At 42.2% G+C, this 13,256-nt stretch overlaps 1 protein-coding gene across 7 annotated transcripts in view; it reads left to right on the top strand.

Annotated features, from left to right (window-relative positions):
* MCF2 (MCF.2 cell line derived transforming sequence) overlaps positions 1-13,256 on the top strand; it is a 126,398-nt gene that overhangs the window by 12,021 nt on the left and 101,121 nt on the right. For 3 of the 7 annotated variants that reach the window (XM_047442112.1, XM_005262413.5, XM_017029529.2), the window contains exon 2: positions 4,142-4,232. The exons of 2 other annotated variants lie outside the window; for them this stretch is intronic. In XM_047442112.1, coding sequence (XP_047298068.1) covers positions 4,148-4,232 — 85 coding nt within the window. In that variant the 5' untranslated portion in view covers positions 4,142-4,147. Of the gene's footprint in view, positions 1-275; positions 426-4,141; positions 4,233-13,256 lie in introns of those variants that run through there. 2 more of the 7 variants (XM_011531339.3, XM_047442111.1) reach the window with 2 other exon arrangements.

Below are 13,256 nucleotides of genomic sequence, written 5' to 3'. Positions count from 1 at the left end.
CTGGTTTATCCTTAGACTTCATCCAAGGGCATTAATGAAATAATACCAAAGGGCCTTATTTCCAAAAGAGTTAGTTACATTGTAAGGCCCCAAAAACTGTATTATAGAGTAGTGTAGATGAATCTGAATGTGCTATGCAAATTAGAGACTGAGTTACAGCTATGCATCTTTTTCTTCAGACCTGAAAAACCCTGAGGTTAGTGTTCTTTCCAATAAGGGTTGGCAGTAAAATTAAGACTGATGTTCACTCATTGTTACTTTATTCACCCATTCAGGTAACCCACATTTTGAGGGCCCACTATATGCCAAGCCCTGGAAGACAGTGCTTAATAAGACATTTCTTCTGGCATCAAGGGCCTCAGAATATTTCTGAGTGATAGACCTGCAAACAATTGCAACACATGATAAGAATCAGCTTGAGAAAGGTAGGATGAACGGGCATGAAAGAAGGTGTTTGGTTCAGGGAGTCTAGCAAAACTTCAGAGAAGAGGTAATTATTTTCAATGACTGCATAATTAATGATTTTATGGATGACACAGAAGGAGCTCATGTGAGCTTAGGCTTTCTCTCCCTCTCTCATATTTGGCTGTCATCTATCCATCCACTCCATGTTTTTTCCAGCATTCTTTCAATGCTTATAGATGGCATGTAGTTGAAATTATACTACATATTCATCTTGCATGCAGATAAGTCAATCAACATAAGGTCATGATCATTTTCTCATGTTCTTAAAAATCCTTCAATAATTTCATTTTAAAAATTAGACTTTTAAAGATAATTCTAGATTCATAAGCAGCTGTAAGAAATAATACACAGAGGCTGGGCGCGATGGCTCACGCCTGTAATCTCAACACTTTGGGAGGCCGAGGCGGGCAGATCACCTTAGGTCAGGAGTTTGAGACCAGCTTGGCCAACATGGCAAAACCCCATCTCTACTAAAAATACAAAAATTAGCCAGTGTGGTGGCACGTGCCTGTAATCCCAGCTACTCAGGAGGCTGAGGCAGCAGAATTGCTTGAACCCAGGAGGCAGAGGTTGCAGTGAGCTGAAATCGTGCCACTGCACTCCAGCCTGGGTGAAGAGCAGACTCCAACTCAATAAAAAAAAAAAAAAAGAAAGAATACAGAGAGATCCTGTATACCCTTTACCAAGTTTCCCCCAATGGTAACATCTTGCAAAACTACAGTACAATATCACAAGCAGAATATTGGCATTGATAGAATTAAATACAGAACAGTTCCATCACTACAAGGAATGGCATTTTTGATAACTGATATGCTTAACAATCCATTTTATGCATTTATGGATAAAAAATCCATAAAATCCATTATGGATAATGGATTTATGGATATCCATTTATGGATGTATCATAATTTATTATCTGCTATTGTTTGTCATGTGGGTTGCTTCCAATTTGGGGCTATAATTAATAATGCTTTGCATACAAACTTTTGTCAAAAACCTCTGATTATTTCTGTAGGAGAGATCCTCAAGTTAAAGGGTATGTATATTTTAAGGTTCACAATTTGTTGAAAAGACTATTCTTTCTCCATTGAATTGTCTTGGCACCATGGTCAAAAATAATTTACCTTAGATGCAAGGGTTTTCTCTGGATTCACAGTTCTATTCTATTGATCTATAAGTCTATCCTTATATTAGTATCACACTGATTTGATTATTGCAGCTTTGTAGTAAGGTTTGAAATCAGGAAGTGTGAGTCCTCTTTGTTTTTTTTTTTTTTCAAGATTGTTTTGGCTATTCTCGATCCCTTGAAGGATATTATTTTTTTGGTTACCTTATTTCTTTGTAAATAACCTCCCATTTGTGATTTGACTTTTGTTTATGTTTTTAATTATACAGAAGTTTAAATTTTTTCTTCTTTGATTTTTGTATTTTTCACATACGTAGAAAACATTCTTTTATATTGTTAAGTTTCTAATAGCTTTCTAAACCTAAAGTTATTTTTCCATTTATTTCCTTCTTTTTTAAAAAATGGAATTACAAAAATAACAGTTGCTCACTGTAAAAAGTTTAACATAATTACTTATTGGGCAAAAAACATGAGATTTCTCCTATAACCAAGTGCTTTCCAATTTCACTTTACAGAGATCAACACTGGTAGCAGTTTGTATCCTTCCCAATCATTTTCTATCCCCATACACATGTATAGTGTTTAAAATAAGGGATCAAACAATAAATATTGTTTTGCATCTTACTTTTTTACACTTGACAACATAGCAGGGCATCTGTCCATATGCAGATCAATCTCATTTTTAAATTATGCTATGGAAACTCTTTCCCATTGTTAGATTTTAAAAATGTCTTCCTAGGTTGTTATTTAGTACTTTTATAGACTACCCCTCATTTGTGTCTTATTTATTTTTAACTTATTTTACAACAACTGCCACATTGGTAGAATTCTTAATGTCATACTACCCACAGTAGTGCGGAAATTTTAACTATTTGCTCCTCTACCCTGTGCACATATTCAAGAGAGAGGCTGGCAAACATTCTGCCTGGTTGACTTAACACATTCAAATAGCTTACACATTCAGATAAAAATATGTAAATCAACTCCGAGAAGTTGAAAAAGCAAGGCTAGGGGAAGAGGTGTGTGCTTGTAGGGGGGACATGTGTGTGTGTGTGTGTGTGTGTGTGTGTGTTCCTCCCCTACTCACTCTGCCTTTTGCACTTGCCTATCCCCACTTTCCTCAGGTATAAATTGGCGATTCCTCATAAGAGATCTACTTGGAATGATTGGCCTGTATAATATTAATCCACTCTCCTGCCAGAAAATTTTGAAAAGGATAAGTATTAAAGAAAAAAGTGGGATGTGGCATTTGCAATTCACATCAGGACTTCTAAGCATTAGAGCAAAATTGGGGCGAATCCCTATGGCATTAGCTCAGCTTCAGACACACATTTTTTTTAAATGCTAACACCCCTGGCCTCTCCTCAGCCAGCTACTGCTTCACAAGCAGGGCTCCCTCAGGTCCTGCATACCCTTTTCCTTCCAGGCACTGCGGAGCTCCATCTTCCCTCGGCCCAGTCCCTGAGTGCTTTGGGTTCAGGGCAAGGAAGGAGCTCTAGCTCCTTTCATTTTCCATTTGGCTTCTTAAACGGGTTGCCTCCTCTTGCCTTTCCGTTTTCTCGTGTCCTCTCTAAAGCGTGTCAAGTCTCCCATGCCCATGGCAGATGGCAGCTCAAGTGTCTATACAGGAGGCTTGGCGTTTGGGACCTGAAGGGCGTGGGACTTGGCATATCCAAAGACTGAGATCAGAGTATGTCTGTGTGTTTGTTTGCATCCTCGGAGGACATATTTCGGCTTCAGCACAGGACCTCTCAGACTATTCAGGGCTAGTATTCTCTTCGGGCAAAGACAGCAGCCCTGACAGGGCCACCTGCATGTGCTCACACAGTGTAACTCCCTTGCGCCGAGTCTTTGCCCAGGTGGATACTGGCCAGAATGCTAAGAAACCGCCAAGACTTGCATGAGTTGCCATGAGAGTGCGAGGCTGGGCTGTCTCCTCCCACCACAAGTGCTAGCCTAGGTTGGCCTTTCGTCCCTCGAAAATGGGAATCTCTGCAGAAATTCTCTCTTTTAGCTCCTTGCGTCCCTCCTCCACAGCCCCCGCCTCCTTTCATCCACCGGTGGCTAAGCGGGGGCGTGGGTGTGCGCACCCAGGGAGAGTTGCCCTCGCAGCGGCGGGGGCCAGAGCGCTCCGCCAGAGCCCCAAACTCTTAACAAGTTCCTGGACTCCGCGCGCGCGGAGCTCTCGGGCCTCTGCGCCTCTGTCCCTACTAGGGGGGCTCCGGAGGACTGGCGGCCGCGGCGCAGCTGGGCTGAGCGGGGCCAGGGGCTGTACCCCTCCGGCAGTGCCTGAGTGCCCAGCGGCGGCGCGCGGGTCAGAGCTGGGCAGCTGCTGGCTGGAGTAGCGGCCCTGCCCGGCTCTCCAGCGTGAGGATGGCAGCGGCAGGGGCCCGGCCCTACCTGGGTTCGCCAAGGCGGGCGGCCAGGCACATGCCCCAAGCTGCCGCTTCGGCGCCGTGGACCTCAGTGTCCTGCGGCAGGATCCCAGGCCTGCCCCAGAACCCAGATGGCTGCACTTTCATGCCGATAGCCCAGGCGATCCCTCTGCAGGTGGACATGGCCATGGCCCTGCAGCGCGTGAGGATTGCCGAGAAGTACGGGAAGAACTACCTCTGCCTCCTGCAAGCAGTCTTCGTGGCAGGTAAGTCCCCTCCTCTCATCTCCTCCCCGGCGGCCTCGGGCTGGCTTGCCCTTCTTCTCAGCCGCTGCCTCCCCAGCCCGGCCGGCTTTTCTTTATTTTCCAGTCCACACCCCTCCCCGCGCGCACTTTATTTTCCAGTCTATACAACCCCCCCACCTCGCCCGCCCGCCCGCCCGCCGCGCACACACACACTTTCCTGCTGCAGTGGCGCTCCCAGCCACGAACTCGCTGGGTCATCCGTTCTCCGTTCCTCTGGCCAGCTGCCGCGCTGCAGGCGTGCAGCTCTGGTCTCAGCTCGCAGGAGGTGAGATCAGGAGCTCTGGTCCCGCAGGAGGACCGTGGGAAAGTGCAGGAAGCAGTATGAAACTGTCTCTGCCATTGCTGGTTCAGGTCTCCTATCCCCTTCTCACCCACTTTGGTGCGTCCCCGGAGAAGTGGGAATAGAGTGTATCTTCCCACACTGCATCTCACACACCAGAACCCAGCCTCTTTGAGGAGTGCACTTCCCTTGTAATATTCCCTGAAGTTGAAAAAGCAATTTTTTTTTGTTTTTGTTTTTCCCATAACGCATGTGGAGGAAACCAAGTCAAAAAGGCACTCAGGTTCGGAAACCAGCAGCAGGGCCGTGGCAGGGCAGGTGGGGGAGGAGTTGTAGGGAAACAGCTGCTGCCACTGACTTGGGCTTTGCACCCAGAAAAGCGCATCTTTTCATCTTGGTCCATGAGCTTGTTGCTTCCCTACAAAGGCAAAAGCTCTTGTTTGTCTGGAAGGACAAACAAAAGCAAAGACAAGTAACTCACAAAGTCTTTACGGCCGCTGCCATGGTTTGATTAAGGGGAGTAAGTGGGGTAACATGGACTTGGTCACTTGCCAGTCGTGATACACTCACATTTAGCAAGCTGAAGTTGCCCAGCTTTGGGGTTGATGTAGCAGGGAGGATGCTGCAGGCTGTGGGGCTGCGTTCCTATGGGGCCATTCTGACTGGGGCACCGGGGCTGCCTCAGAACAGAGTGCAACTCTGAGACCTGAAGTTCAGCCAGAGCTTTTCAGAGAAGTCTGCAAGGTGCTGCAATTGATGTGCGCGCCTTCCTGTGCACCCAAGGTAGTTTTGACTTAGTAGGTTCTAAGCCTTGCAGTGGAAGTTTTGGTATTCAAAAAATAGACTTGGTGGCAATTTCCCACAAATCAGATAGCCACAACACATGTTCCAAATATACCTCCCTATTCAGTGCTATCCACAAATCTAAAGGAGGCCATGCAAACATCTTCAGTTAGACCAGAGGAATTAATTCAAGGCTGTGGTCTGTGCATCTTCATCACACAGAACTCTTTGGTCTTGCTTGTTTTGTTTTGAGCTGGTCTATATTATTTTCTAGATGTAATAAATCATTAAGGGCAATGTGGTGATGGGGCACAAACTAGTTCCGGTCTTAAGAGCAATTTAAATAGTTTTTGGAGACTACAAAAAAAAATCTTGCTGAAACATTCCGTGCAGTACAGTGGAAAGTACTTTGCGTTTTGTTCTCATTTACCTTCTGCATCATCTTGGGAGCTAAAAAAAAAAAAAAAAAAAAAACTCCTTTGGAGGAATGCATGCTTAATCACAAAGGTTAAATTAGTTATGCTATGAAATGTAAGTTGATATTTTTGCTGCTAGTGATTTCTCTTATTTCTAGAGTTGTGTGATGTGTCATCTGTTCACACTTTTGAAGGCTCCTACATGTTGACAGGCCCCCATTCCTGTGGCATTACAATGTGTCATAACACCTAAATGACACCAGTTGCTGTGCTGTGTTTTTACCTGGGCTTGCAATACTTTTGTACCTTTTCAGCATTTGCCCTGGAAGGGATTTGTAGCCATGTGATTAGAGTACACACTATAGTACAACAATTTTAAATGTAAAATGGATTTCCATATACTTCGAAGCTATTTATATATTAAAATATGTTTACAAAGTTTTTCATTGTGGTAAATAACTTTCTGAACAATCACGTCAAAAATGACCATTTGTGGATTGCTCAGGCCCAGAAATTATACTACAGAGTAATAAGCTAATGACATATGTGTGTGCAGAATCTTCCCTGGGGCAACCAGAAGAGAAAATGATTGGCTTCACTTAGGGAGTTAGGGGAAGACTTGATGGAGAGAGTGATGCATGAGTTGAATCTTGAGAGATGCACACAAATGTCCAGCTGGACAGCGGGTGGGGATTGAACGTGGTAGGGATAGGTGGGTGAATGGTATTCCAGGCAAGGAAATAAGATATGCAAAGACAAGCAGAGAGAGGAGAGCAGAGTAGGTTTGGGGAATTGTAAATTCCTTTTAAATGACTGGAGTGTAAAATATGGGGGGTAAAGGAGAGAGAGAGATTTGGAGAGGTAGGAGGGGCCTCGTAAGGCATGTTGAGTGGTTTTACTTTATTTCCAGAGCAATCGGAAGCCACTGGAGTGTTGTAAGCAGGGCAATAGAGAAAGCTGCTGCATATGATTGAACAGGTTGTGCACTGCAAAACCCCTGGGGCCTCCACTGACACAGACCACACCAGGAATGATGCCCTTACTATGGCTGTACAGTGCACAGTATACACAGTGGTCAACAGCAGCTATGAGTGATGGAACTTTTTGCTTTCACAAAGATCATCCAAGTTGTGTGGAGGATTCAGTGTGTGGCTTATGCCGTGGAGAGGAAGAAGACTGGAGATAAAATGACTAGTTAGAACACAGTTGAAGTAAGCTGGCTCTCAGTGGATAGAGGCATGGACTGTCACTTCTGGGGATGAGGAGAAGGGGAGAGGTCTGAGCGGAATTAAGAGGGTAAATTGATTTGACTTGGTGACTAGTCGTGGTGTTCGAGGGACAGGGAGGAGACTAGGTTAATTTCAGGTTTCTGGTTAGGGTGACTGAATGGAAAGAGATGCCATTAACACAGGGAATGGAAGAGGAAGAGGTAGTTTGATTTTCAATTCTGGGTATGTGGTTTCTGTGGAATATTCAGGTAGAGCTGACGAATGGGTCTGCAGCTGGGAAGAAGTAAATGTTATTTCTTATTCTCATCATCTATAGGGTTCATTAAACATCTCCTGGCACTGAAGTTCTTTCCTTAAATCTACTTCTCCATGGGCTATATTGATAACTCAGCAAGTCTAGTACAGAAGTAGGCACACATTATAAAATTACCTTTCAGACTTGTTCTTTATATTTTCCCTCACACATTTCTTTACCTGATGATGAAAAAAAATGAAAAAAAGAAACGTCTTGTATTCATCACAGGAGGAAAGAATGTAAGCTATTCTGATCTAATGTAACCTCAGATAACTTACATAATTAGTTGTGAAAACCTGTTCACTGCAAATTTTACTCATCAGAGTATAGCTCAGGGAGATATGTAAATCACAACAAAATTTATTCAGTGTGCATTCCAGTATGGTATGAAGATTTATTTCAATGATGATGGGTCATCTATTAGGCCACACGATACTGTGAGTGTTCCACGTAACTGATTTTTCTGGGTAACTGAGGTTCAACACTTTTAGTGCCTGACTTTTTCCCCTTAAAATATGTATCCATTTTGGATGAGAAGCTTTTCAAAAATACTATTTACCTTCCTGACCCCTGAACCTGGAAATAATTGCATCCTTTTTTGATGGGTTAAGATTGTCCTTATAATAGCATTAGTTCTTTCAATGTGCTGTATTCAGTGCTGCCTCTGGGCTCCTAAACTGTGGAGGGCTGTTTGTCCCTATACTAAATGGGGACAGATTGTTCTGCTTTTTAATTTTCAATGCCTGACTTTTACCCTCTAACTTTTCCGTAGATTTCCTCTCTGTTAGCTGATATTTTTTGCTGCTGTTAATTTAACTGTTTCTACTGGCCAGTTGTTATTGCCTAATCCTCCATGCCCCCTCCTCCATTGCCTTCTCTGAGTGTTACGAACTAGGGAACAAGATAATCAAGCTTGTTCGAACTGTGTGAAAAGTATAATAGACCATGAGTAGGCCTGTGGGGAATCTACCTCAACTAATGTATATGAGCTTTAGTACATGGACTCTGTGATATCTATTCCAATTGCAAAACATCTTTTTCTTTTCTTTCTTTCTAGTTCCTTTGTGTGTTTTGGAGGGTTGATGCAGTTAAATAAGTTATCAGTAAAAATCTATGTTCTCCTGCTAATCGAGGCATAATAACATGTGAAATTGTAATATTTTACTTCCTTGTAAAACAAACAAGTGTGTTCAGAATCTATCAGCAATTCCACGTGCATTTTATCCACTGCATTTCTCAGACATGCCTGTGCTTGGCACCAGAAGGCACTTCATTCTTAAAATTTGCCCCCAGGTTTGAAAGCAATTGTCCCTGTCTCTGCTCAGCATCTTCTTAAGCAAGCATCCTCTGAAGGCTCAATAAACAACTTGCACCTTACCTACTCTAGGGCAGGAGCAGAGGCCAATCCCATGAGGAGAGATGCCTTCTATCTGATGGCTGACAAGGCCAGTGCCTCTTTCTGTTGCTTCGACGTCTTGTTCCAGAGACAGTTAGCTCCTGGCCAGAGGCCAGTGTCACAGAAGTTACATTTATTTTTTCACCCAAACTTCCCCTCATTGTATGTTTATGGCAGATGTAAGAATCTGAGTGACTTCTTGTTACTTCCAGCACTGGGAAGATGCCATTGAGCAAAATCCTGAAGGAGGTAGGAAGTGAACTACCAGAGGTGACTGGGGGAGAGTGTTTCAGGAAGAGGGGGCAGTCAGTGGAAAGGCCTTGAGACAAGAGCATGCTGACAAGTTCAAGGAACAAGAAAGAGACGGGTATGGCTGAAGCAGAGTGAGTGTTTGCATATGTGTGTGTGTGTGTATGTGTGTGTGTGTTGTGTGTGTGCATGCGTGCCTGCATGAGATGAAGCCATAGATGTAATAAAGTCTGGATCACATAGGGCTTGGTAAGAATTTAGGCTTTTAACCTGAGTCAGATGATGAGCCATTGGAAGGTTTTGAGCAAAGGAGTCACTTCTGTGTTAACAGAATCCCTCTGGATGCTGTGTAGAGAATAGGATTAAGGTCAGACAAAGATGGAAGCAGTGAAACCAGTTAAGAGGCTATTAGCATTAATGATGGCAACTTGAACCAGAGAGGTAATTTGTGGAGGTGGTAAGAGTGATCAAATAGATTCTGGATATATTTTGAGGATAGAGTCAGAAGGATTTGCTAATGGTTTGGATATGGAGTATGAGAGAAAGAGGAGTTAAGGATAATGCTAACATTTTTGGCTTTAGCAAGTGGATGGCAGAAATTTTCATCAGTGGAGATGGAGATGCCTGCAGGAGGCGTAGGTTTACGGGGAAAAATTATGAATATCAGAAGTTTGGCTGTTTGAACCTGTTAACTTTTTTTTTTTCCGAGATAGAGTCTCACTCTATCACCCAAGCTGGCATGCAGTGGCACAATCTCAGCTCACTGCAACCTCCGCCTCCCACGCTCAAATGATTCTCTCACCTCAGCCTCCCAAGTAGCTGGGATTACAGGTGTGCACCACCACACCCAGCTAATTTTTGTATTTTTAATATAGAATCATGTCGTCTGCAAACAGGGATAATTTGACTTCCTCTCTTCCTATTGGGATGTCCTTTATTTTTTTTCTCTTGCCTGATTGCTCTGGCCAGGACTTCCAATACTATCTTGAATAAGAGTGGTGAAAGGACATCTTTTCTTGTGCCAGTTTTCAAAGGGAGTACTTCCAGCTTTTGTCCATTCAGTGTGATGTCGGCTGTGGGTTTGTCATAGATGGCTCTTATTATTTTGAGGTACGTTCCATCAATACCTAGCTTATCGAGAGTTTTTTTTTTTTTTTAACGTGAAGGGGTGTTGAATTTTGTCAAAAGCCTTTTCTGCATCTATTGAGATAATCATGTGGTTTTTGTTTTTAGTTCCCATTTATGTGGTGAATCGCATTTATTGATTTGCATGTCTTGAACCAAACTTGCGTCCCAGGGATAAAGCCTACTTCATCATGGTGGATTAGCTTTTTCATATACTGCTGGATTCTATTTGCTAGCATTTTGTTGAGTATTTTTGCATCTCTGTTTATCAATAATATTGCCCTGAAGTTTTAGAATTGTGTCTCTGTCAGGTTTTGGTTTAAGGATGATGCTAGCCTCATAAAATGAATTAGGGAGGAGTCCATTTTGGAGGAGTATTTAGGGTTTTCTAGGTGTATGATTGTAGCAGGACAAGCCACAGACAAAACCCCTCAGACACCGAGTTAAAGAAGGAAGCAGTTTATTCGGCTGGGAGCATGGGCAAGACTCCTGTCTCAAGAGCCGAGCTCCCCGAGTGAGCAATTCCTGTCCCTTTTAAGGGCTGACAACTCTAAGGGGGTCCACTTGAGAGGGTCGTGATCGATTGAGCAAGCAGGGGGTACATGACTGGGGGCTGCATGCACTGGTAATTAGAACGGAACAGAATAGGACAGGGATTTTCACAGTGCTTTTCTATACAATGTCTGTAATGTATAGATAACATAACCGGTTAGATCAGGGGTCTATCTTTAACTACCAGGCCCAGGGTGTGGCGCCGGGCTGTCTGCTTGTGGATTTCTTTTCCGCCTTTTAGTTTTTACTTCTTCTTTCTTTGGAGGCAGAAATTGGGCATAAGACAATATGAGGGGTGGTCTCCTCCCTTATGATCATGTCATCAGCAAACAGAGATAATTTGACTTCCTCTTTTCCAATTTGGATATCTTCTATTTCTTTGTCTTGTTTTATTGTTTTGGCTAGGATTTCTAGTACTATGTTGAATAGGAGTGATAAGAGTGGACATCCTTGTCTTATTCTAGTTCTTAAGGGTAATGTTGTCAACTTTTCCCCATTCAGTATGACCTTGGCTATCTGTTTGTCATATATGAGAGCCTATTTTTAAAAATAGCTTTTGTAGAGCTATAATTCACATACAATTAACCTACTTAAAGTATGCAATTCAATGGTTTTTAGTATAATCACAGAGTTGTGCAACCTTTACCACAATCTAGGTTTAAAATATTCCCATCACCCCAAAAAGAAACCCCATACTCGTTAGCAGTCACTCTCCATTTTCTCCCAACCACCTTTTTCCTCAGCCCCTGGCAGTCACTAGTCTACTTTCTATTTCTATAGATGTGCCTATTCTGGACATTTCATATACATAGAATCATACAATATGTGATCTCTTGTGACTGGCTTCTTTCACTGAGCGTAATGTTTTCAATGTCCATTCATGTTGTCGTTGTGTCATTCTTAAAATGGCTGCATCTTATTGCAGTGCATAGATGTGCCACATTTTAATTATCCAATAAAAATGATAGGCATTTGTGTGGTTTCCACCTTTTGGTTATTATGAATAATGTTGTTATGAACATTCTTATACAAGTTTTTATGTGGACATATGTTTTCATTTCCCTGTGGTATGTATCTAGGTGTGGAAATTGCTAGGTCCTAGAGTAACTGTATGTTTCATCCTTGAGGAAATCCCAGACCGTTTTTCAAAGCAGCTGCACCCTTTTACATTCCCACCATCAACATATGAGGGTTATAATTTCTCTACATTCTTCCTAGTACATGTTAATCTCTCTTTATTTCCCAGCCATCCTAGTGGGTGTGAAATAGTTTTTTATTGTAGTTTTGATTTACATTTCCTGAATGACTAGTGATGTTGAGCACCTTTTCAGGTGCTTATTGGCCATTTATATATCTTCTTTGGATAAATGTCTACATGGATTATTTGCCTGATTTAAGATTGGGCTTTTCCTCTTTTACTGTTGAGTTTTAAGAGTTCTCTATATACTCTGGAATGGAGATCTTTATCAGACATTTAATGTGCAAATATTTTCTCCCACTCTGTGGGTTGTCTTTTTACGTACTTCATGGTTTCCTTGAATCGCAAATATTTTTAACTTTGAGAAGGTCGAATGTATCTATTTTTTTCTTTTATTGCTTGTACTTTGGATGTCAAATATAAGAAAACATTGCCTAATCCAAGGTCATAATAAATTACAACTATGTGTTTGTCTAAGAGTTTTATAGTTTTACTTCTTATACTTAGATCTTTGATCCATTTTGAGTTGATTTTTGTGTATAGTGTGCGGCAAAGATTCAGCTTCATTCTTTTCCATGTGCACCTCCAGGTTTCCCAACATCATTTATTAAAAAGAATATCCTTTCCCCGTTGAAATGTCTTGGTGCCCTGGATGAAAATAAATTAACCTTCGGTACAAAGATCTATTTCTGGACTTTCAATTATTTCCCACTGATGTATCTATAAGTCTATCATAATACCTATCTTTATTACTGTAGCTTTGTACTAATTTTGAAATCAGAAAATATAAACTTTCCAAATTTGTTTTTCTTTTTCAAGATTGCTTTGGTTATTCCAGGTCCCTTGCGTATCCATATGAATTTTAAGACTAGCTTGAAAATTTCTGTGCAAAAAGCCATCTGGGATGTTGCTAGGGATGGCATTGAATCTGTAGATGAATTTAGGAAGTACCTTAACCTCATTTTTATAGTGGCACAAATTGAGGTTTCCCAAACTATGGACCATTCACATTTAACATATTTGGAATTATTTACTATAATGGATATTGGCATTCTGCCCTTCAGTGCTCACATTGGATAGTTATTCATCTTTAGTTTGTCATGAATTTACAAAGTTTATGGCTGGGCGCGGTGGCTCTCGCCTGTAATTCCAGCACTTTTGGAGGCCTAGGTGGGAGGATTGCTTGAGCCCAAGATTTTGAGACCAGCCTGGGCAACATAGTGAGACCTCATATCTACAAAATATATTTTAAAAAATTAGCTGAGCATGGTGGCACACTCCTGTAGTCCCAGCTACTCAGGAAGCTGAGGTGGGAGGATCACTTAAGCCCAGGATGTCAAGACTGCAGTGAGCTGTGATCTCGCCACTGCACTCCAGCGTGGGTGACAGAGTGAGACCCTAACTCAAAAAAAAAGGAGAAAGTTTGCAACATATTCATTCCTAGTATGAGAATTATTCTAGA

Source organism: Homo sapiens, chromosome X, assembly GCF_000001405.40.
Source record: "Homo sapiens chromosome X, GRCh38.p14 Primary Assembly".
NCBI classification, from domain to species: Eukaryota; Metazoa; Chordata; class Mammalia; order Primates; family Hominidae; genus Homo; species Homo sapiens.
The sequence above is the reverse complement of the archived record's forward strand: the minus strand, read 5'-3'. Positions and strand labels throughout refer to the sequence as shown.